The sequence below is a fragment of the Homo sapiens genome, chromosome 13 (genome assembly GCF_000001405.40).
Source record: "Homo sapiens chromosome 13, GRCh38.p14 Primary Assembly".
NCBI lineage: Eukaryota > Metazoa > Chordata > Mammalia > Primates > Hominidae > Homo > Homo sapiens.
The window spans coordinates 74,138,527-74,165,180 of NC_000013.11; the positions used below are offsets into that span (position 1 = coordinate 74,138,527).

The 26,654-nt window shown below is 38.4% G+C and overlaps 1 protein-coding gene across 3 annotated transcripts in view, besides 1 other annotated feature; it reads right to left on the reverse strand.

The window, feature by feature from the left end:
• KLF12 (KLF transcription factor 12) overlaps nucleotides 1-26,654 on the reverse strand; it is a 619,957-nt gene that overhangs the window by 452,438 nt on the left and 140,865 nt on the right. The gene's annotated exons all lie outside the window — the stretch shown is intronic.
• Nucleotides 19,521-19,630: an enhancer, noted in NCBI's record as "active region_7820". NCBI's record gives its function as "activates an Ori minimal core promoter by ATAC-STARR-seq in GM12878 lymphoblastoid cells {active_cell/tissue: GM12878}" and the evidence as "EXISTENCE:reporter gene assay evidence [ECO:0000049][PMID:35858748]".

The window sequence follows — 26,654 nt, forward strand, 5'->3', positions numbered from 1 at the left end:
GTTTTGATTTGGGGGATGAGCTGTCTGCAAATTAGGGGGAAAATGCCATTTCGTAACTTTGTTTTATTGCAATCAATACAGTTTTCGGTCCTTCTAGTTTAAATATCTTCATCACATCTTCAGATGTGTCTTCTTTTCCACCTTCCTCCAGTCACTTTCATGCAGGCCTTTTCCAGACTCACCTCCACTATCATGTCTGCTTCCCAGCTCTGAGCTCTGCATCTAGCCCCCTTTCCCTCACATGCACTAATTATAACATATCTGTCTTTACAAAGCCAAGTTGGCACAAATTAGTTACAACAAAATACTGTGACACATAAAGGCCCCACTTCCATATTCATACCTCATACTTTCCCCTCCAGCCTGGGCACACACCTTGCGATGATCTTCCTCTGTCTTCTCTGGAATCCTCTAAAAACGATTCCTGCATACCCCACATACATGTATACATATCCATCCTCTCACCAAAAAGTTATCTTTCCCTTCTTGGAGCTTCTTGTGGTATAATGGAAAGAGTGCTTCAGCTGCTGACTAGCTGGGCTTTCATCTTCTTTCTGATTCTCTATTTTTCCACCTACTTAAATAACATTTTCCCCACATTGAAAGATTAAGATTTATTAGATGCTTACCTGCGCCAATGGGAGATATACTGGCCCAAGTAAGCATCCAATAAATGTTGATTCCCTCATTTATTCTTCAGGTTCTCACACCTTTCTACTTCCATGAAGTATTGTTGGCTCACCTATTACATGTAACCCCTCTCAGAACAAGAGCTGTACTTTAATCACCTATTTAGCCTTTCTTTTACCCTCACACTGTTTTGCACATAGTAGGTGATTAATGAATGCTTCTTGAATCAATGAAACAACTATAATATATAAACATAGAATGATATACGTTAAAACACAATTTAGCAGAAAACTTGAGTTTCCATTTGGGTGCACATATTGAAAATAACAAAATTCTGCAATGTGTCGGTAAATACCTTTTGAACATTAATTCTGGCAGTGTTCCTCAAGCAACCTTCTTCTAAGTAGAAGTTTTTATATAAATATAATACATTTGGAGCATTCCATTTTCTCTTTCATATGGAATTGTTTAAAAATTATTCAATTATATTCCTCTTCATTTTTTATTAAAATTAGATAGCATTCTACTGTGTTAGATTAAAAACATTCAATTTTTTAATACCAGAAGGAAAATTCACAGCAAATTTGTTTTAAAAAAAATGACATTTGCAAATTTTGAGGTTATAAACATTAGAGCTGTAAAGTAATAAATAATCTGCATTTTAAAATATAATAAATTGAGGCATATGAGATCTGAACTATAGGTATCCTTGCTTTTTTAACTTTACAAATGAAAATAGTACTCTCCATGGAAATAATTTAATTCCACTAAAGTTTATCTAGTTTGCAAAATACCACTTTAATTTCATGCTATATACAATACATTAACCTAGGTATTATATTAAGATGAGCTTAGATAAAACTGATAAATAACTATATAGCACGTAACATTAGAATTTTCCCAAATTTTTGCAATTGTATTTACATAATAGTGAATATCTTAGCTTCTTCTTGTAAAAAAAATACAATTTTATTTTAGATAGTTTCCTCTAAGTTGTGTTACTGAAACAGAGAATATGAGTTTATTTTTACTGTTATAGAAACCTACTGTCAAATTATTTTTCAAAAGTATTTTATCAGTTTATGGCCAGCTGCAATGGCTCACACTTACAGGCTCAATACTTTGGGAAGCGGAAGTGACAGGATTGCTTGAGGCCATAAGTTCGAAACCAGCCTGAGAAATGTAGAGAGACTCTGTCTCTACCAAAAATAAAAAAAAATAAGCTGGAAGTGGTGGCATGTGCCTGTAATCCCAGATACTCAGGAGGCTGAGGTGGGAGGATTGCCTGGTGAGCTAAGATCAGCTTAGGCAATTAAGAACCTGTCTCTAAGGGAAAAAAAGCATTTTACCAGTTTACAATTACACTATCATATTTGAGAGTGCCATTTTCCCTGTGTTCTTGCTAGTATTGGGTGGTGCTTTGAAGTAAAACATCTTAAATTGGTAAACAAGAATGGCTTGAGTTTTAATTCCTTGGTGAATAAAGATTGAACTCTAGGAATATAAATGGGACATTGGTGGATGGGATGGGCTGAATACAACTCCTGTTGCATAGCCTCGCTAAGAAATCATGAGAAACTGATATCAAATTGCTGTGATAAGAAATGAAGGTTGGAGCAGGGTGCGGTGGCTCATGCCTGTAATCCCAGCACTTTGGGAGGCCAAGGCGGGCAGATCACGAGATCAGGAGATCGAGACCATCCTGGCTAACATGGTGAAACCCCATCTCTACTAAAAATACAAAACAAAATTAGCCAGGCGTGGTGGCAGGCGCCTGTAATCCCAGCTACTCGGGGGGTGGGGGGTGCTGAGGCAGGAGAATGGCATGAACCTGGGAGGAGGAGCTTGCAGTGAGCCGAGATGGTGCCACCGCACTCCAGCCTGGGTGACAGAGGGAGACTGTCTCAAACAAAAAAAAAAGAAACGAGGATTGGAAGAGGGAGTATAGCTCAGGGGTATAGAATTGGACTGCAGATCAAGAAATGAAGGTTGGAACAGCTATGAAAGACATTACAAATTCAGACTCTTAGAATTCAGCAACTTGCTATTTTGAGGAAGGGGTACAAAGAAAAGAGAATGGGAAACGATCTTATATTTCATTCCTTAATTCAGGAGGATTCATTTTTAGTTTTGATAGATTTGAGAGTCATCAAATAGGTAATTAGTTCTACCATAGTTGAAGCTAAAATGAATTAGATAGCTGATAGAGAAGAATAGGGAGAAAGAAATGAAACCTGGTCAGAAACATGGAAATAAAATAAAATGAAAATAAGAGGAAACAAGGGAGGGAGGGAGATTATGATACTGATTTCCATAGCTTTCATCTACAAACAATGGAAAAACCTAACTAATGCCAGTTAAAGATACATATTTTTGTCCATCCCTTGCAGTGAAACAAGAAATCGAAAAATAAGCAGCCACAGTTCAAGACTGTGCAGCTCCCTGGCACACCAAAGCCCCAATCTCATTTTATTTTCCTGCTCCCTTTCTTAAATACAGCTGCCCCTCCCTCTCCATAGTAGGAAGAAAAAAAAGGCTAAGAGCAAAACCAAGTCTGTTCCATTTAGAAAGCTTTCCAGAAGCATCAACTGTATCTCTGCTTATATTTCAATGGCTGGAAATGGGTCACATGAGTTCCTGGAGACCAAACACAGGAAAGCAGACAGGAAGAAGGGTCTCTTGGATGGAATTTGGAACAACCAACTGGCAGTTGCCTTTTTACTATGTAATGTTTCATAATGTTTTAGTCCTAATCAGTCCTAAATTGCAAACCACTCTATTAGTGAGGCTCTCTATTGAATTCTTGCTGGCAAACAGAAAAAAAAAGAAAAATATACCATTGGCTTACAAGTTATTGGCCATCATTTTAAGGACATTAACTCATAAACTACAAAATAGATTGATGTTTCTTAACTATATTTTCTGCACAATGTGGTCAATATGTTATTAAAGTACACAAACCATAATGTAGTCCATTTTAAATGAATCCATGTGTGATTTACCTAAGGCAAAATGTGAATCACAATTTAGCTTCACTGAGTTACACAGTCTGCTTATGGCTTATCCTTCCACTCCATGAATTTACGTGTCTTTGAGCAATGGACATTAATTTTTAAAAGTTGGATAAGCAAGTCACAATTAAAAAGGCAAATCTGTGTCTCCCAAAATATAAGCTGCGTTTGCATTTCATATTCAAATGAGAGTGAAGCAGCAGCACATGAGCTGATGCCTGAGAGCCAGAAAGACAAACTGATTGCTGGTTTTGCCACTTGATTCTGTGACCTTTGACAGGTTGCTTAATTTTTGTTGGGGTCAGTTTTCCTCCCAGTACAACTGGGTTGGCACCTTCTTTACAAGGATGTGAACAACTAATGAGGTCTTCCATACCCTCCCTTACAAGACTGTAAGCTCTACAAGGCTTGACAAGAATTGTGTCTGACCACTTCTCAGTTATCACCAGTCCTAACTTGGCACTCAGCACATAGCAAGTCCTCAAAGCTTTTCGGTGAAAGAATGAAAGTAACTTCCAAAAGGCCTAGGATATTCTGGGTACCCTATGATACCTGTAAATATAGTTGCCTACCAGAATAATAGAGTTATTTGTCAAGAAAAATAATCTAAAGGAATATATACAGTTTCTGTACTTTAGTTCAATAAAACGTATGTACTCAGTTAATTTAATTTGTAAAGATGAGTATTTAGCTAGATTTGGTATGCATCTCTCTTAACTGATGCAGCTTCCAAGTTAGAATACATATGAAGTTAAAATGAATCATCTCTGTGTCCTAATACAACTTTAAACTTAAAATCAATTCTTAATAAAGACCTTCCTTCCTTCCTTCTTTCCTTCCTTCCTTCCCTCCCTCCCTCCTTCCTTCCCTCCTTCCCTCCTTCTTTCCTTCCTTCCTTCCTCTCTTTCCTCCTTCTCCTCCTCTTCTTCTTGTTCTCCTCCTCCTCCTCTTGCTCCTCCTCCTCGTCCTATTCCGTCTTCTTCTCCTTCCTCTTCTTCTTCTTTCTTCTTTCTTCTCTCTTTCTCCCTCTTTCTTACTCTCTCTCTCTCTCCATTAAGACAGAGACAAATTGTGGATAATTTATCCATGAAGCATGAAGACTTTGGTTTCCTGGTTTTTACATTTTATCCAGTTCACAAATTAGTTTTTTGATCTTTTTATACAGAATTCAAATACAATTTCATTCTCAATTCCAAATAAAAATGGCCATAGCAAATAAAGAAATGTTACTGTAGAGCAAATGAAAACTTTTCTTAAAATCTCCTTAAATGACACTCCTATTTTTTAAACCAACAGCTATTAAGCATTTACTATGTGCCACACACCATTGGAAGCATTTTTCATATAATAATTAATTTAATCTTCGTGGAATCCTATGAAGCTATACTATTGCTTTCATATCCTCAAGGTGAGCCTTGCTAATTTATTGCAAGTTGCAAAACTCACAAGCACTCCTGGTTCTCCTTCCCTTTCATCTTTCTCTATGTAGTGCTTATCATCATCTAATACAGATGATGCCCAATTTACAATGTTCCAACCTACAATTTTTTTACTTTAAGAAGCTGTGAAAGGGATATGCATTCAGTAGAAGCCATACCTTGAGTGCCCATACAACCATTCTGTTTTTCACATTCAATAAACTACATGAGATATTCAACACTGTATTTTAAAACAGGCTTTGTGTTAGATGATTTTTGCCAACTGTAGGCTAATGTTAAGTGTTCTGAGCAAGTTTAAGGTAGGGTAGGTGCATGTTTTACATACAGTATTTTCAATTTACAGTTGGTTTACTGAGACCATAATCCCATTGTGAGTTGAGAAGTATCTGTATACTACATTGTTGTTGTTACATACAGTCTGTCTGTGTCTGCAGCCCACTTCCACTAAAGTAGGAGTTCCACAAGGCCAGATAATTTTTCCATCCTGTTGGCTGCTACAGCCCATTGTGTAGAAAACTGCCTAGCATGTAGTAGGCACTCAACAAATATTTGTAAATGAGTGTGAATTCCCATTGCATACAATGAGGAACGTGAGGCATCTGATGCTTTCAAATCACTTTGTCTTCAAAACTACAATTACAAGGATTTTGCACAGTGCATCAATAATTGTTATTATGGAAACCATTTTCATATTTCACTTGACAGACCCAACAGATTACTGTGGGTCTCAGGACTTCCACTAGTTATCAAAGATTATGACAAAAACAAGTTTCTTCAAAAATGAGAATGAAACTAAGACACAAAGCATGGCCATTAACTACCACTACTATATAACTGCGTATTTGTATTTAAACTGCTGAGTCATTTTAAAATTAAAGTGCAGTGCCACATTTTTGTATTTCTTTCACATCAATCACTATGTATTTGTAGTCTACACGGCATTTTTTAGTCTCAAGAACTAAGCACAGTAACAAGGGAAAATATATGTATGGCTGAACATTGTATTTTAACTCACTGAGATAAAAAAATTCGGTGGGATCATAATATTTTCATCCTCACATCATGCCTGGTACTTTTATGTCTAAGTATTAAGATGATAGGTGCTATAGAAAGGGCAAATAAATACAACGGAGAATGTCTGTTTAGTTATTTTAGAGCTGTTATATTGAAATATCGTCTTGTTTACAATTTTCAACTCAACAAATCCTCATCAATTATTAAATATTTTTCTCATTGAATTAAACAGGGCAACTGTATTTTCTCAAAAGAAAACATCAGGTGAAATGTAAGGCTTACTTTTAACATATACAAATTTTCCCATATGAATAAAATTCTATAGCTTTATTACACTACCCACCCCACCCCAAACTAAGCAGAAAGTGTACATCGTATTTATTACATAAAGAGAAACAGAATTTAAGTCCCATTCTTTATTCCTTTGAATCTAGAAGCAGTTTTTTTCACTATTGCAATGAAAAAAATAAAACAGTTCATGGAATTTAACTGCTGTCTAACAGGCAACATTTTCTTGGTACTGTCCTGCTGACCACATAAAGATTATAATGAAGGTAACTAGACAAAAGTCAGGGAGCAGATGTGACCGTCGTATCTTATGGAACAAAGTGCTATGCAGTCCATCACTATCAAACTTGTGATTATTTTTTCAATGGGATTATTATGTTAATATATGATGTATTCATTTATCAAAATTACTCATTAAAAAAGTTTGGTTGAGTAGGGTTTGTTGTCATGATACAATTTGCTATTAGCATGCCTCTTTGTTTCATTATGAGTTATCCTCATTGTTTATATGGCTTCTTGCCTGCTAGAACTGTTATCCACATGCATGAGTTCACTGGGCAGCCGCTGAGATAAGAAACATATGGCTGTGTCTGCTGTGAAAATCTAGACACACACCATGCGTAACTCTATCTCTTTTTGTGCATGTGTATTGACTTGTGTCTGTTCATGCACATCTACTTTTGGGATCCCTATCTCTTACAATCATGTGCTAATAAAAATATTTATATAATTTAACCCCAGCAGTACTTACAAATATCACTTTTATTTAGTAACATGTAATCAAGCAGCAAATAAATATTTTGCCTTTTTATCTAGAAACATCAAAGTTAGAAAGGAGACATGTAATTCTCTGTAGGTTTGGCAATAAAACCTAGGCTTCAGATTTTTAGCTCCTATCTCTGAGCCTGGTCTTGGATCATGTTCCAAGGTTAATAGCAGACATCCTCAAATACATTTTAAACCTATATGCAAAATGTAGTGTATTTCTTATTCTTAGTATCACAGAGTCTAAGAATTATCTTCTTACAACAAGCAAGGAAATTTAATTCTTTGAAATTTCAAATCTAAAAGAAGGTTTTATTTTTAACTTGAACATGTTTTTAAAAAACAATTGCTATAATTACCTTGGAATTTTGTCAAAGCAGAACTCTTTGAAAATTGGTAGGTCCAGATCTTAATGTGAGCATACAGAAAGTACTTAAAAGGCATTAATAGCCAGCAAAGCACATCTAAGTTAAAAGGCAAAAGGTTTAAATGGTCAGAGACCTTTAAATAAAAAAGAACATTAAGCAAACATCTTAGCCATAGAGTTATAAATATGTCAGGAATACAGACTTTCCTGCCGCTCTATGAGCAGAATGATTGTTCCATGTTGTTGACCTTCACTAAGTCAGTTAACCCTTCAATAACCTTTATTTTTCCATCAGGAGCAATACCTGCTTGTAAAGAACATGCTGGACCACAGATCTAAAACAATATGATTTTATTACTATTATTATCCCCAACAGAAAAGCTGTTTCTTTCTGCAGTAAGACAGTACAAAGCTTGAAAAAACTCTACGTAGACTGTTGCCGAAACACTGGGGAGAAAAACAGATTAGGGATATTGGTTTTTAAAAGGATAAGGAGCAATGGTTTAGAACCAAATCTATCTGTCTAATATGTTTTCTTTTAAAAAACAGTCTTAATTTAGTTTCCTTTGCTACACTATTAGTAAAAAACTAATGCTGCTTTACAATTTCATAGAGTTTTTAATTTAGAAAACTATTTTCTATCAGTTGTTGCATTTTCTTGTTACAATATATGTATAAAAATTAATGTGCTAAGTGTTTGATGTGTATTTTCTCATTTAACCCTCATGATAGCCAATGGGGTAGGTGAAATCGTTTCCATTTTAGAAAAGAGAAAACTAAGTCCAATGGAAGTTAACTTGTTTCCAAGATAACACAGCTGGTAAGAGATGGAGCTGAGATTTGCACCTACGTTGACTGACTTCACACAAGTCCTCTTAATCACTGTGTATCCTATACCCGATACTGGTGGAGATAACTTATTAGTGAACCTTTAGACACTTAAGTGTTGAAGACTTGCCAAGATTGTGTAGCCCGTGCATGTCAGGTTTGGATTCATGGATCCCAGCACATTGTTCTTCTCATTAGACTGAATTGCCATTGAAGGCTTTTTATACCCTCACTGTGGTTCATGGCTAAGGAGCTTCAGGAAAAGATGAGTGAGCTTTTCCCCAGTTCTTTATCTAGAGACTCTGAAGTTTTGCATTTTTCACATAGTTCAGACATTGTTCCTTGTGGATGGACTAGTACTGACTGCAAGAGCCTCCCTTGGGGAACAAGTGCACCCCTTCCTGGTTGGAGAAGTCATTTTCCAAATTGGAGTTTGGGGAACACTGTTCTGTAGAATGCTAATAGGTGCTCCTACACAAAGAGTTCTGTGCTCTCAAATATTTGGAAAAATTTTGGTTACACGATGTTAAACATCTTTCTTCAACCCTCCAAAGAGGGTGCTGCAGTGGCTGTTAATTTGTTAATTGGCATTGTGAATCTGGGAGACTGGGCCACATAGTGTACAGTGGTTTCCCAAAATATGTAGTCACTGAGTTTTTTCAAACTCACTTTCTAACACTCTGGGAATATTTTCCAAGGAACATGAGTTTCGAAATGCTCCTTTGGGACTTACGTACCGCCCAGAACTCCTGCAACATTCCCTAGTCAATTGACTGTTTTATACCTCCAGTCTGACCTCAAGCTTCCAATGCCTTGTCTCCTATGCTTGCTTCTTTTTTCCCTAAGAAAACAGAAGCCCCTAGGAGTGATTTTGCACACATACTTTCACAGCTCAGCTACCCATCTTCTGATAGCTCTGCCTTTCCTCCTCCTACCATGGGTAAACCATCACTGGTCCTATCTAAAGCCAACTCCTCCATTTTGAGCTTCTTTATCTTCTCACCCATTTATGTATATTGCTCCAATAATTGTTTTCTCACTTCTTTTTTTTCTTTTTTTTTGAGACAGAGTCTCACTCTGTCGCCCAGGCTGGAGTGCTGTGGGATGATCTTGGCTCACTGCAACCTCGGCCTCTCAGGTTCAAACGATTCTCATGTCTCAACCTCCCAAGTAGCTGGGATTACAGGCATGTACCACCACACCCAGCTAATTTATTTTTTGTATTTTTAGTAGGGACGGGGTTTCACTGTGTTGGCCAGGCTGGTCTCGAACTCCTAACCTGATGATCCACCCGCCTCGGCCTCCCAAGGTGCTGAGATTACAGGTGTGAGCCACCACCCCCGGCCTGTTCTCTCACTTTTGCATCACTAGTTTTTCCTTCTCCACTGAATTCCTCCCTTCAGCATACAACATGCTATAATTTATCCAGTCTTAGAAAATAAATTTAAAAACCATTCTCCTGACCTCACAGTTTCCTCCAGCTCCCATCCCATTTCTCTGTTCTTTGTCACAATGAAAGTCTGCCAAAACTGCTCTTTTTTTTTTTTTTTTTTTTTTTCTGTACTCAATTTCTCTCCTCCCATCTTCTCTGGAAACAAATTCAGTAAGACTTTCACTCCCCCCCCACCCCACCCCGCACTCTGCTTACTAAATCTGCATTGGCTAAGGTCAACAACAATTAACTCTAGTGTTTAAACTAGTGGTAAACACTAAACTTCATCATCTTGACCTATAAGCAGCACCTGGCACTGATTGATAGCTCAAGAAGGTGGAGTTTAACACAACCCTGATAGTTAAAGAGATAGTTTAGCACCTTGTCCTCCTTGAAACATTTTCCTTCTCTTGCCTTCCAGAGAACCCACATTCTCCAGTTTTTTTGTTTTGTTTTGTTTTGTTTTGATGCTCTGATCTTGTCAGTGTTGGAGTGTTCATGTTTATTCTTGGATCTCTTTTGTTTTTGTTTTGAAATGGAGTCTCACTCTGTCACCCAGGCTGGAGTGCAGGGGCATGACCTCGGCTCACTGCAGCCTCCGCCTCCCGGGTTCAGGCAATTCTCCTGCCTCAGCCTCTCTAGTAGCTGGAATTACAGGCACCTGCCACCAGGCCCAGCTAATTTTTGTATTTTTAGTAGAGACGGGATTTCAGTATGTTGGCCAGGCTTGTCTTGAACCCCTGACCTCAGCTGGTCTGCCAGTCTCGGCCTCCCAAAGTAGTGGGATTACGGGCACAAGCCACCTTGCCTGGCTTGTTGTTGGATGTCTTAACAATCTCAGCCCACTCCCTTAGTGATCTCAATCAGTCTTGATAGACTTAGAGGTCATCTATATGCTGACAACTCTCAAATGTGCATCTTAAAGTTGCACTTAACTGTAGATTTATATATTCTACTGCCTATTCTATAGCTATACTCATGTGTATAATGGGCACCTAAAATTACCTTTTCTAAAACTGAACTCCAGATTTTACCTGACTCTATTCTGACCCTAAATCTATTCCTTGTAATCTTCTTCATCTCAATAAATAAAAATTCCTTCTTTTCATCCACTGTTAGCTTAAAAAGCTTAGTATTATCTTTGATTCATTCTCTCATAGCTCACGTATGTCAGCAAGCCCTATTGACTTCTTACCTTCAAATTATATCCAGAATCTGATATTCCATGACCACTTCCATTGTTACTACCCTTCACCTTTCACCTAGATTATTGCGGACACCTCACAAATGGACTCCGTGCTTCCATCTTTCCTCCTTATGGACTCTTCTCAGGGTACTATCCAGAGGGACCTCTTACAACATAGGTTAGATCTTACAACCTCTCTGCTCAACACCCTCACAATGTCCCCTCTCACTTGTAATGGGCAAAGTCCTTGTAAGACTTCTAAGGTAGTCATGGCATGGCTACCTGTGACCTCTCCAATCCCATCTCCCAGGTTTCTCTCTCATTATTTTTCACCCCCTCTGGCCTCCTTGTTGTTCTGAACACACCAGATCATCCCGTCCAGCTGTGCACTTGCTATTCCATCTGCCTCGGGGACTCTGCCCCTAGATATGTGCTGGTTGCATTTCCTCACCTTCTGGTTTCTGCTCACCCAGTCAGTGAGGGCTTCCCAGACAACCTTTTCAAAAATAGCAATCTCTTTCTTACCTCATCCATGTCCCTTCTCTACTTTCTCTCTGTACATTAACATGAGCAATAAACATAGTTTGCTTGCTTTTTATTTTCTCTCTCCCTCTGCTGGATTGTAATTTCAGTAAGGACTGATTTTTTTTTCTATTTCACTGATGTATTCACGTTGCCTAGTATAATATAGAAATACAGTTGATGCTCAATATATATCTACTGAATTATTGCTGAATGAATTAGTGAATATCTCTCTAATACATGTTGAAGCAATTCTTCCCACCCAACTGTCATTATTTACTCATCAATGGAGCATTAGTACAGTAGTCTCCCTTATCTGAGGGGAAAATGTTCCAAGACCCCCAGTGGGTCCCTAAATTGTGGACAGTGGCGAACCTAACTGCCATCAACTGGAACACATTTCGTTCATGCCTTTCATTCACAAATGTGATGTCTTTTCCATCTCAACTATTCATGACCTGTGGCTGTAATTTTGCAGTTTGAGGTTCAACAGGAAAACTAGCATGAATTTATTTTCCTTCTTCACAATTTCATGGATAGAAGCTTCATTCTTACTATAGATCTTAGCAACATCAACAAACTATTTTTCTTTCCTTTTTATTGATAACTTTTACCTTTCACTTAAAGGAAACACTTGATGGCATATCTGAATTCCCAGCGTCAGTATTCCTGTGCTTTGGGGCCATTAGTAAGTAAAATAAGGGTGACTTGAACACAAGTACTGTGACAGCATGACCATCAACCTGATCACCAAGATGGCTACTTTTAAGGGACACAAGGGGGGCAGAGGAGCACAAACAGTGTGGATACACTAGATAAAGGAAAGACTCATGTCCTGGGGTGGACAGGCCAGAAGGTGCAAGATTTTATCACAGTACCCAGAACTAACTTTGGGTTTATTTCTGGAATTTTCCATTTAAATATTTTCAGACTGCAGTTGAGCTTGGGTATCTGAAACTACTGTATTTTCAATGACTTTGATTCCATGAATTAAAAAGATAAAACTCTTATTAGTAACTACTTATAATGTAATAAAATAGTGGTGCTCTGTCCCTGATTATTAATTTTAGGACTTAACATAGGCAATAAGTTTTTTAGCGGTTGGTTGAATGACTGTTAACTTATTTAGGTAATTGCAAGTGTGGATAGAGAATTTGCCTTAGAGCACTAAACGAGGACTGAAGAGTAATAGTTTTGAATGCTAGGTCTTGAGATAGGATGAAGAAATGTCATTTGGGGAATATTTTTGTATTACATTTTTATTTAAAACTATAATTACAACTAGATTAAAACAAAATATGATTAAGCATTTTGTCAGTGGATAAAAGCTGTACAAGCCTCAAATTAAGAAGAATCTCCAGGCCGGGCACGGTAGCTCACACCTGTGATCCGAGCACTTAGGGAGCCCGAGGTGGGCGGATTGCTTGACCCCAGGAGTTTGAGACCAGCCTGGGCAACAATGCGAAAACCTGTGTCTACAAAAAAAACACAAAAATTAGCTGGGTGTGGTGGTGCACACCTGTAGTTCCAGTAACTCTGGAGGCTGAGGCAGGAGAATTGCTTGAGCCTGGGAGGCAGAGGTTGCAGTGAGCTGAGATCGCACCACTGCACTCCAGCCTGGGTGATGGAGTGAGACCCCATCTCAATAAATAAATAAATAAATAAATAAGAAGATTCTCCAAACCCAGGAAGAAGTCAAAAGAAATTAAGATATTCTGGCTAGGAAATGATTGAAGCTTATAAATATACAAATCAGGGAACAGACTTGACAGAAGTAACCTATCTGCAATGTGATTTGAAGACATTACGGTAATGACATTAAGAATAAAGATCACTCTTTAAGTGCTGGTGAAAGTAACCAACCAAAAATAATAGGAATAAGAAATAATCTAATTATTTGGCAACATGTTAAAAAATGCACGTTGAAAAGAAGAGAGACGAGGTGAACAAATGCAAACTAAAGAGTAGCAGCACTCCTGGAGAATAAAAAGGGCAACTAACACTGTGAGGATGGTTCATTTCTGGCAGTATTTTCCAAGCACGAGGGTGGCCTGACTTTGGAATATAAATAGATGCTCTGGATGGTACAGTCCTTTAATGAAGAAAAACAGTCCACTGGGCTCCTACAGTGATGAAAATAGCCTGAGAGACCACCCAACACATTTGCTCTGATTCCAGATTTACTAAGCCATTTTTAAAAATTTGATTTCTCAATACAGGCTGGTTGGCAGCAATATTATACTAAGTTTCTCATTATTAATTATTTGTCATTCTGGTACACATAATTCTTATATAACTTAGGGTCCACATGAACTTATTTTCCTTTCCAGGCAAAGTATGAACTCAGTAAGTTTTTCTAGAGTACTCCCCTCTCAAACATTAGCTTTTACCCTTTTACCTTCAGGTTCGTACCCCACCATATTTGCATAATTGTATTACTTCCCTAAGAACCAATTTTTTGTTGTTGTTGTTTGCTAGTACTTTTGTGCCACCTGACAAACTTACAAGCTATTTTTAAATGCTTGCTTTTAAATAGAGGGCTCTTAGGCTGGGCAACACAAGGTTTCTACATAAACAATAATTTAAAAAATCAGCTGTGTGCTGTGGCTTACACCTGTAATTGCAGCATTTTAGGAGGCTGAGGTGGGAGGATCACTTGAGCCCAGGAGTTCAAGACAAGCCTGGGCAACATGGTGAAACCCTGTCTCTAAAAAAATACAAAAACTAGCTGAGGATAGTGGTGTGCACGTCAGTAGTCCCAGCTACTTAGGAGGCTGAGGTGGGAGGATTGCTTGAGCCCGGGGAGTCGAGGCTGCAGTAAGCCATGACTGCACCACTGCATTCCAGCCTGGGTGACAGAGTGAGACCCCATTACAGATAATAATAATAATAATAATAATAATAATAATAATAATAATAATAAAAACAGAGGGCTCTTGAAACCTTAAAGTTGATAAAAACCAAAGCATAAATGTCAGATAAATGTAGAAAGGTATAATAATTTCATACTAATTAAGAGCTATTGTTTATTAAATGTTTGCTATGTGCCTGTTACTGTTAACATATATGTTGGGTTTAATTTTCACATAGTTAGAAAATTTGGGTGTTAAAGACAAAATGCTTTTTTTCTCCTCCATTGTAATTCAAATGATATAAATGTAAGAGCTCCCAGTCTTCTTGACAGTGGCAGTTTTTGTATTCCCCATTCAAGTTTACTCAGGAATTTCTTGAATTCAATGAAGTCAATTTAAGGTTTCAAATCCGTCAGCTCATGATTCTTTCTCAATTTTTTCTTTGAAATCACGAGTTGAACTAGGACCTGGGTGAGAAAAGATGTCAAGGAGGGACTGGCGAAAATATTGTCCTGGCCTAGGGATGAGTCATCTGGTCCAGAGGTTACCGTCTGTGCTTGTTCAGTCCATCAAGTTATAGCTGGTCCAGCCTGGACTTGAACATGTGCTATATCTATGCTAAGTTCATACCCTTTCTATATCCTCCAGCTGTCATGCTTTTTTCATCTTCCTTGTTCCAAATATGGGGTTTCTTTTGGTCCAGCTGTTGCCTCATTGCAAACCCTCATTGGCTTTTACCACACTACACTCATATTAAGAATCTCAAAGATCCAAGAACCAGAGACCTTACTCAGCCACTGTTAGTTAACAGCATTTGGTTTGTTAGAGTCAAAGCTTCTCTAGAACACTTGCAGTGTGGTAGGATTTACCCGTGAAAGTCAAGCTATTGATTGCCCTTCTGGTCTAGGATCTGCTGAATCTATTGCCCACTGTCCTGGGTTTCTAGGCATGATCCCTGTGAATTTATCTTCCTACCTGCCCGCCTGAATTTTTAACCCTTTACTTTCAAGTTTAAGTGAAATGGTGATGTTTTTGTTCTAGATTGGATATGAACCCCCCACCGAAGCAATAAATACTATTTATTCGGACGGGTGTGGTGGCTTATGCCTGTAATCCCAGCACTTTTGGAGGCCAAGGCAGGCAGATCACGAGGTCAGGAGATCAAGACCATCCTGGACAACACGGTGAAACCCCGTCTCTAGTAAAATACCAAAAAAAAAAAAAATTAGCTGGGCATGGTGGCACGCACCTGTAGTCCCAGCTACCAGGGAGGCTGAGGCAGGGGAATTGCTTGAACCTGGGAGGCAGAGGTTGCAGTGAGCCGAGATCACACCACTGTACTCCAGCCTGGCAACAGAGCAAGACTCCATCTCAAAAAAAAAATACTATTTATTCAATAAGTAGGGCCTTGAAAAAGGTAAAAACTTATAAACATAAATTGTATTGGTTGAATTTTCAAAAATATTATCCTCCTTTTATCCCATTATAAGTATTTACATCCCTAGACAAAAAAATTATTTTTACAAAATTATAGTAGCTACATCTTTGTTCGATTTTTGTTTATATACAATTTGCCTCCCAGAATCTCTGAGATTGTGGAGTTACACATACACCATGGGTTAAGTTGTTACATGTTCCAATATTAGATCACCAGGGTTTTCCCAGGAATTTCTCTTTCCTCCTTTTCCTCTGCCAGGGAGTTTAGCCTGTCCTAGAGAAGAGGCTTCCCTGAAGTCAGGAAAGCAAAGGGTGGGCAAGTGTCTTTGCTTAGGGTTGTGGAAAATGATGTACAGGACCCCAATCCAAATCCCCTGGATTACCCACTAGCTGCGAGATAATAGTGACGGTCCCATCACTGGGCCATGACAGAGTCTGGGTCAAGAGATGATGGGTACCGGCCAGTCTTTGGCTCTTCCGTCATCATGGGATCTCTGCTCTCCAGGGTCCCAAGGTTCCCCTAGCCTATTTAGCTTCTATATCACTATGGGTTCTCCGTATAGCTTGAACAGGACATCTTGTTTCTTCTTCCAAAGTCAAACTCTTCAAATATATTGCCAGCCACCAAATTTATCACCTAAGCTGGTATCCCCTAGAATTAGCTTTCCCTTTATGAGAAGGGGATTTATTTCTTTGAATATTTCACAGTCAGAGCTAATGGTCTTAAATATACTATTCTTTATCTCCTTCTTTCCCCGCTGACTATCAATATTTGCTCAGTGTACTTCATATCACAGTTGACTTTCTGCGTACAGTTCTCTCACAGGATCCTGGTTCTGACTTGCTCCAAGTCTTGTCTAAGGTTTGAATTAGTTCATGGTGCAAGTATTCTTTGCATGAATGTTCCTTAGAATTTCAAGCATGCCCCCACATGCAGCGGGTTTAAAATTTTACAGTCACTAACCTAGGTGTTAAAAATTTTAACACTGTTTATTTCTCTACAAGTTAAATTAAGTCAGTTATATATAGCTCCTATTTTTCTTTCTTTTCTTTCCTTTTGTTTTTGTTTTTGTTTTTTTTCTAGACAGGGTTTTGTTCTTGTTGCCCAGGCCACTGTGCAATTGCATGTCCTTAGCTTGCTGCATCCTCCACCTCCCGGGTTCAAGCAATTCTCCTGCCTCAGCATCCCAAGTAGCTAGGATTACAAGCACCCGCCACCATGCCTGGCTAGATTTTTGTATTTTTAGTAGAGATGGGGTTTCACCATGTTGGCCAGGCTGGTCTGCAACTCCTGACCTAAGGTGATCCACCCATCTCGGTCTCCCAAAGTGCTGGGATTACAGGCGGGAACCACCACGCCCAGCCTGTAGCTCCTATTTTTAAGATGGCAGAAAAACAATCTGAGCAACTGAAGATAACTTAGTTCCTTATAGCTTATACACGGCCAATTCCAATTAAATCTTCCGCTGGTGATATATTCCCTTCCTTTCCTTTCTTTTCTTCGGGATAATCTGTGTTGAGAGGAGTGCTGTTGTTTTTGTGTCATCCTGGTATTGGGAGGGGTTTCAGCCCAAGTGATTTCTTCTGACCTTGCCAGCCTCCAGTGAGGTACAGCTCACCTGATGGATCCCTGTTGCAGTGTCCTAGAATCTGCTACTGATACCAGTGTTTCCGCATGGCCTGTCATCTCAGCATGTACATAGTCTTGGTCCACTGTTGGTTGTGCCACTTCTATGTTCATGGAAACCTTTTCATACACAACTTTCTCAGCACTTCTTGTCCATCCTTCAGATGCTGTGTTGGAGACTTCCTCCACAATGCACCTTCCAAAGTTACATCTTGGGAAGCTAAGCCACAGTCCTTTCTGCTTTGAAAATCTCCCCTGAATATAGGATTTATACTGCGATCTCTCTTCATAATTTTTATTCCAAATTGGTACAGAGTTCTGGGCACTTTTCAGAGGCCTCTGTATGGTCTAGTTATGTTTCTTTCTAACCAATTCATTCCAGCCATTGGATTCCTCTCTTATCTCCTTTGGGATGAAGGAACCTGCTCTGTGATCATCATGTATGTTTTTCTATACTACAGTTTATGGTATAAAATGTAGGCTCTGAGTCAACCAATAAGCACATGATGGAGAATGAGGTATCCATCCCCTCAAGCATTTATCCTTTGAGTTACAAACAATCCAATTACATTATTTATTTTAAAATACACACATTATTGACTACAGCCACCTTATTGTGCTATCAAATAGTAGATCTTATTCATTCTTTCTATTTCTTTTTTGAGACCCATTAGCCATCCCCACGCCCACCCCCAAACCCCCCACTTTCCTTCCCAATGTCTGGTAACAATCCTTCTACTCTCTATGTTCACCAATTCAATTGATTTTTAGATCCCACAAATAAGTGAGAACATGTGATATTTGTCTTTCTGTACCTGGCTTATTTCACTTAACATAATGATCTCCAGTTCCACCCATGTTGTTGCAAATGACTGTATCTCACTCTTTTTTCAATATGACTGAATAGTATTCCATCATGTATATGTACCACGTTTTCTTTATCTGTTCATCAGTTGATGGACAGGTTGCTTTCAAGTCTTAGCTATTGTAAACAGTGCTGCAACGAACATAGGAGTGCAGGTATCTCTTCACTTTGGAAATTTGACAGAGACACTTTGGTTAACATTTTATTCTGTATGTGTGTGTGAGGGTATGACAGTATAAACTTAACATAAATGAGATCATATATGTTGTTTTACCGCTTTCCTTTTGCATTTAACAATGAATCACAGGGGACTTTCTATATCAACGAATAAAGATATAAACATTTAGTGGCTGCCTAATTTTCTATTATATAGAGGTACAGTAATTTACCCATCAAGAGATATTTGCTTTATTTAGCAAAGTTTACAAATATATAAATTGCTGTAATAAATACTCTTGTACATGTATTTTTATTTTTTCCAAGTATCTCTTTATGACAGATTTCTAAAATGAAACTTACAGGGCTTAAATGGTCAAACACTGGTTTACCTGATCCTATAGCCAAAGGTCCCATAGCAGGGCTACAGTTACCTGTGAAATCAATTTATGTAACTGATCAAGAGCTGATTACATAGGAAAATCATTGCTGTATTTTAAAAAGCATGTTACCCTAGACTTAACGGTTTAACTTTGGTAGGGTAAGGGAGGGAGGTTGGCTATGCTCACCCACCCTAAGAGCAGCAGCTCTTAACATAGTAGACACAAATACTAGAGTGAAAGAAGGGGAGCTCAAAGTGATCACTGGAGGTGGTCACCTTACAGCCATATTTTTCCTGATCCCTTAGGCTTCCTGGGGATCCATTACAAAATCCTGGGATGTACCCCAGACCAGTCATTAAGCTTCCTTCTGTCCTCAAATGCTGAAGAGAGAATGTTAACAGCCTAAGATTGGCCAATTTTTTGGGTCAGAGAAAACAGTTAAGCACAAGGAATTTACTGTTGGGCTTTTGCTTTTCTTGGGTATTGATTAATTGGGACCAGATACCTGCTGAGTCCTTAGACATCCTGCTGCTCCCATGGCATTCATCAGGTGCCCTCACAACCAGCCCTCTTCTCTGCAACTCCCATTTACCTCGCAGAGTATCTCTCCTCCTCAGTCTTGTATTCAATGTGTGTGAGTTGTTGCTGCTTCTGCTGCACTTCATTAGCTTATTCTCACGCAAATTTAAAATATTATGGCTTAAAACCATGTTTCTCTTTAAAGTTTCCTTCATAGTGACATTGGTGGAAATAAGTGGGGTGTAGACAGGGCATGTTTGGGCTTGACTGAGAGAAGAGAGAGCAAGGGAGGCATGTTCAGGGCTTCAGGGGAAGGCCCTGTGGGTGGTCCGCATAGGTCCGCGTGAGGGCAGCGACCTGTGAAGGCTGCGTGGGCTGGACTGTGAGTGAAGACACATGTGCGGCTGCAGGATGTTTGGCTGGATTCCTGCCTGGCCACCCTGTGGGGGACTTAAAGGGGGGTGTAAGATGGAGGAGAGCTGGGAGTTGCTCAAATTCTTGGAGCAATCTGCCGCCAGGATTGGGGAAGCCAGAGTGACCTGCCGGTGTTAGAGAAGTGGGCAATTCATGGCCTGGGATTAGGTGAACAGAAGGCCACGGGGATCCTTCACTCACACTCTTGCTTTCTTGTTAGAATCTGCTTTTTACTTTTCCTGAACTTCTGAACTTGGATTAGGAAGCAGTTGGCCGGCTTCTTGAGAAAGAAAGGGATCAAAACAAGTGAGTCCCAGAGAGAAAGAAATCTTGGGGTAATCATGGGAAAGGAAAACATGGACAGAGGAAGTTGGTCGTGAAAGAGACTATTAGATTATTAGAATAAAAAGGCCATATGTAGATATAGAGTGTTGGGTAATGTGGGGTGGGGATAAAATATATAAATACATAAGAATATGAAGAAGAAAATGCTTAACATTAATAGGGTGGGGTAAACTTTCAGGTCAGAGACCTTGCCTGACACATAGGTCGTTTGCAATGAGTGTTCACTGAATGACTAAATGGAAAACTACTGTTAGAGAAAAAATGAACTAGTAAAAAGTCACCCATCAATCAGGATTTTAATTCACAAAGATTTTGTAAATGTTTTTAAAGTTAAAAGAGCTCCTACATTGATTCATTGGTTCAATGAGCATGTGCGCCTACTATGTGCTAGTCAGAGGGACTGGAAAATCATCTACCCCACTTCTCTGTATGTAAATATGAGAAAACAGGCATGATCTTCCTACACCTCAGGAACCTTGAGGCAGAGCTAAGATCAGAACCCAGATATCCTGAATCATAGACTTTTGCATGTCCCACTAGGTCATGTTCCTTCTAGGGGTTAAGTTCACTGGAGATCCCTGTGCCCACATGTGCCCATATAACCCTGTGTGGCAAACACACAGGGGACACCCTTCAGAAAAGGGTGCACCCTTCAGAAATAACAACTTCACATGAATGAGTGCCATCTTTTGGAAAGGGTGTTTTTTCAAAAAATATAATTTCATACCAAGACAAGTCATACAAGTGTATCACAGGTAAGAGAATCATATCTTCCCAAATTCCTATCAGGATGACCTGATCTAAAAATGTAAGAAAAATAAATAAAGGAAGTGTATAATAATGCTGAAAATTCTAACAGTACAATTTTAGTCACAGAAAATGTTGTCCCATGCTAAAGAAGTTTGAAAATTGACAACTGGATAATGCACATATTTCATTATTACTTTAGCCTGCTCTGGAGTAACTGAGAAATATTTTTGTCTGTTTAGCACATGTAACCCCAAAGGAGACAAGTTGCTGTATACCTTAAGGTCATTCAATTTCTTTCACTCTTATTCAGTAATTGCAAGATAGTCTCTGCTCTAAAATTTTTTTTTCAGGTAGACATTTCTATCAAAAAGTTCTTTTTCAGCCGGGCATGGTTGCTTATTCCTGTAATCCCAGTATTTTGGGAAACTGAGGTGGGCAGATTGCCTGAGCTCAGGAGCTCGAGACCAGCCTGGGCAACATGGCGAAACCCTGTCTCTACCAAAAATACAAAAACTGCATGTCTGTGTCCCAGCTACTTAGGAGGCTGAGGTGGGATAATCACTTGGGCCCAAGAGGTCAATGATGCAGTGAGCCAAGATCACATCACTACACTCCAGCCTGTGTGACAGAGGGAGACCTTGTCTCAAAAAAAAAAAAAAAAAAAAAAAGGTACTTTTCCAACTAGTCCAAGTGAGTATCATGGTCTACCTGGTGGTTATCTTTTTTCTAGGTAAATTAATAAATTGGCAATTTGGCTTATGAATACTTTGCAGTTTGGTTAGTGTGAATAAACTCCTCAGAGAGAACTGAACATCCTATTTCAGAATTTATAAAAGTAAGTCATATAATTTCTTCTTTAGTGTACGACTGTGGTGTAATGGTATATGTGTTCCCATGTTCTGTGTACTGAAATTCTGAACCCATGGAGACCTCATTGATACACTAACGTTGAATGGCACTCCTTCTAAAATATCCATCTACCAGGTCTGTTTTATTCATCTTATTTGTATCATCTTGTAACTAGATATTAATTGAAAATAAACAAATGGATATATCCTTTGTATATTTTTTGTTGCAGAGAGAAGAGAATAAGAAAACTCATCTACAGTGAAGTTTCTGTGTTTTCAGGGAACGTCTCAGCCTAATACAGATCCAGGCACTTCCAGAGGACAGACAGCATAGAACAAATAAAGTGTCTTTATGTAAGTATCAAATGAGCCACAGGGGGAGAAAATATGGCACCCCTGGGGTTTTGGCTTCTTTCTTGTAGCCTCACCTTCAGAAATCCAGAAAAAGAGTTCAACTCCTTAAGAAACTTAAAAGCACATAATCCAGAAAGGGAAGAAACCTGTGGAGGTTAAGGGAGACAGAGAATGGGACATACTGCATGAGGTTAGCAGGGAGGAAGAATTCTGGGTAGCTGACCCAGAGTACTTCAATTTGAGCCGGGTTTGGCCTGCTCTAGTTAAGTTGAAGTGCAAGTACACAAGGCTCGTTGTTTTGTGGGAATTAAAAAAGTTCTGATAGGCAAGAGATGGGAATAGGTCCTCTTCACCCTCTTCAGCAAGGTAGCCATCAGAGCAGAGCAGAGGAGTAGCCAAGGTGGGAACACTGGAGACCTCATAACCAAGAGGCTAAGCTGTTCATGCAGGAGGTGTCCATAGGATGGAGATTGAGAACACGGAGATTGGTTTTGGACATTCAGGAGAGTCTTTTTTTTTTTTTTTTAATTGACAAGGGAGTGTTTGAATCCATTCTGGGAAGGCTTCCCACACTGGACTAGGGGGATTTGAGAAAGGTGGTTTAGTTAGAGTTTTAGCAAATTTGTTGATCTGTGCTGAGTCATATTTTAAAAAACTGTTATCACCTGTAATGGGTTTTATAGTGTCCTCCCAAAATTTACATCCACCTGGAACCCCAGAATGTGACCTTATTTGAAAATAGGGTCTTTGCAGATGTAATTAGTTAAGGTTCTAAGATAAAATAATCCTGAATTTAGGGTGGGCCCTAAATTTAAAGCCTGGTGCCTTTGCAGGGAAAAAGAGAGGGAGATTTGGACACATACAGAGGCACAGGGGAAGAAGGCCATGTGGAGATGAAGACAGAAGTTAGAGTGATGCAGCTCCAAGCCAAGGTATGCCACGGGGTGCCAGAAGCCACCGGAAACTGGAGGAAGACATGGAACAGATTCTCCCTCAGAACCTCCAGAAAGAATAACCCTGTTAATGCTCTGATTTCATACTTCTGGCCTCCAGATGCAGAGAATCAACAGTTGTTTTAAGCCACCGAGTTTGTGGTGATTTGTTACAGCAGCCCTAGGAAGCTAATATATAACCCATAGTCCTCAATTTCAGACCCAGCCTCAGGTGGCCTGTGGAAATATGGGCTGCATGTTTAATTATTTAGCAATTGAGTAGAGATTAATTTTCATTCCGCCTCAATTCTTTTCTTCTTGAATGCTCCATATACGTAAGCAAATCCACATGGATAAGTGCTCATGATAGACTCAGGGGTCAGGGGGAATCATATGAAATGCTCAAATCAGTTTTTTCATTCTCTGATTAATCTAGAGATGATGTACTTAAATTGCTCCATTTTAAATCAATATATTTTAAAATCTCCATCATTTTTGCAATTTCTCTTATAAGAAAATATTTAGACTATCAGATAGAGTTCATTTTAATAAGTTATATAAATTCCATGGTGGAATGGAACACTGGAAAAGTGGCAGCCACATATATTACTTTTATTTCCAAAAGAGATAGGTTTTAACTACAGAATTGCAAGTCCACAAAACCTGGAGTTGCAGCAAAGTTAGGACCATGGGACCTTTTTTGTAAAAGACGTGAATGATGGGTTCAAGGCAGCTATTCAGCTCAGAAAACTTGTGTTCTCATTCTCCCTGTTCTTTGCCTACTGTCCTCCTCCTCATCAAACATACGGATGAATGACACTACAAAGGAAGCCTCTTGTTGAACAACACAGATTGATCAACATTGAAGAGACTTTGACCAATGTCTCTTTTATCTCAACCTTTAACTCAGTTTCTGCTCTACCACTGACTTCTTTCAATTTGATTCTTAAATTAGGCCAGATGCTTAAAATTTGGGGGTTCCCTGTGCCTTCCTCCAGGAGTAAATCCCAACAACCTGAAAACTTGCCCATTTTCTTTTGTCTGTGTGTGTGTAAAATAATATGGCTCTGAAATAGTAGGATTTAATGCTACTTATTTTCTCTTCTCTTGTATTTCTCTCCTTCGTTGCTCTCTTACCTCTTGGGATTCTGCCTGTTTATTCTCTTCCACCTCCTCAGCATGTACATAGTTTTTATTTTCCACCCCTGGCAGAGGTTTGTGGGTCAACTGTGAAATGCAGAGGCATTGGTTAAAGTGCCCAGCCCAGGTTCTTATGATTATTACTGCTCTGCTAACTTTGGAAAACAGCCGGAGATATGGAATAAAACAATAAATGAGAAGGTAGCATGTGCACTTTTAAAAGTGTATGCAAGAAAAGGGATTACAAATGAAAATAAATTACATCAAAGAAAAAACAAGCAAAAACAACAATAAAAAGAACAAATGATTGGTACTCAAGTCCAGTGAGTTTATGTTAAGAAGAGAAAGTGGATTATTTGGTAGAAGAATGGAGATAAAAGTGAAAGGAATTAGTAAAATAAAAACAGGGAATCTGAAGGAGAGAAAAGGGAAGGTAGAGGCTATAGAAAGAGAGAAAACAAATGAAATAGTGAGAAAAGGTTACCCCTGTACGCTGTTGGTGGGAATGCAAATTAGTACAACTACTATGGAGAGCAGTTTGGAGGTTCCTCAAAAACCTAAAAATTGAGCTACCATATGATTCAGAAATCCCACTGCTGGGTATACACCCAAAAGAAAGAAAATCAGTATATCAAAGAGATATCTGCACTCCTATATTTGTTGCAGTAATGTTTACAATAGCTAAGATATGGAATCATATCTGTTTATCAACAGATGAATGGATAAAGAAAATGTGATATATATACACAATGAAGTACTATTCAGCCATAAGAAAAGAATGAAATCCAATCATTTGCAGCAACATGGATGGAACTGGAGATCATTACCTTAAGTGAAATAAGCCAGGCACAGAAAGACAAACATCTCATGTTTTCACTTATTTGTGGGATCTGAAAATCAAATCAATTGAACTAGAGAGTAGAAAGATAGTTAACAGAGACTGGGAAGGGTTGTGGGGGTTGGAGGGAAGGTGGGGATGGTTAATGGGTACAAAAAATGAAAAGGAGAAGTAAGACCTACCATTTGACAGCACAATAGGGTGACTATAGTCAATAATAACTTAATTGCATATTTCAAAATAACTTAAAGAATGTAATTGGATTGTTTGTAACTCAAAGGATAAATACTTGAGGGGATGTGGATACCTCATTCTCCATGATGTGCTTATTTCACATTGCATGTCTGTATCAAAACATCTTGTGCACCCCGTATATATATATACACCTACTATGTACCCACAAAAATTTTAAAAATAATTTAAAAATTAAAAAAAAAGAAATAGTGACAGAATAAGAAAGAAAAAGTAAAGAAAGAAGAAATATCAGTACAATGCATAAGAATAAGGACAGAAAATAATAAGAGAATAATTGAAGATGACGCAGGTAAATTTCAGGAAAGGTATATCTGGCCATTGCTTTCTAGTGAAAAGATTCTAATAATTATGACAGTTTCTATGTTTCCATTTGGCAGTCAGTATAATAGAGTGGAAAAACCTTTGGTTTGAAAGAACTGTATTCTAGTCATGTTTGTCACTGTCTAGTCAAATGATCACAGACAGATCATTTAACCCTTCTGTTTTCTTCCCAAGATAAAATAAAAACATATTTATGGCTTTTTTTGCTTTTTAAGAAGCTATGACTTTACATATTTCTGAATACATTTTAGTTAAAATGATTAATCAAAGTCAATATGGAAATTTTATTTTTAAATCCTTATATTTATTCTAATATTTGTGCATTTACTGCAAATTAGTCATATTTTAATTTTCTTGTTTATTCTTTTTTATATTACCCCAGTAGAAAGTGTTAACACATGAAAGTAGGTAGAACAACTGGTCATGCTTAATGTAACTGGATTTGTGACAAAAAAAGAATGCACTAAATTATTTTTAAAATGTTAGTTCAAGATGTTTCATTTAAATAGTTTCTTGAATTCCTGAGATGTATGTTCTTTTGAAGTGTAAAAGACTCAGTGAAGATCATAGGTTCAAGGCCTGGCCCTGATGTGATTGAAAGACTATATGCTTTTGGGTTCAAATAAGAGAAAATCCAACTAAATAGTGCCTTATACCTGTAATATGCCTGGAAGCTGGCAGTTGCTTATATAGCCTCAGCAATAAAATGGGATCATCCAGTGGAACTGGAGGATATTATGTTAAGGGAAATAAGCCAGGCACCAAAAGACAAACTTCACATATTCTCATTCATTTGTGGGAGCTACAAATGAAAACAATTGAACTGATGGAGATAGAGAGTAGAATGATGGTTACCAGAGGCTGGGGAGGGTAGTGGAGAGTAGGGGTGGTTAATGTGTACAGAAATATAGTTAGATAGAATGAATAAAATCTAGTATTTGATAGCACAACAGGGTGACTACAGTCAACAATAATTTACTGTACATTTGAAAATAACTGAGGATAACTAGAATGTTTGTAACACAAAGAAATGATAAATGCCTGAGGTGATGGATACCCCATTTACCCTGATGTGATTCCTACACATTGTATGCATGTATCAAAATATCTCATGTACCCCATAAATATATACACCT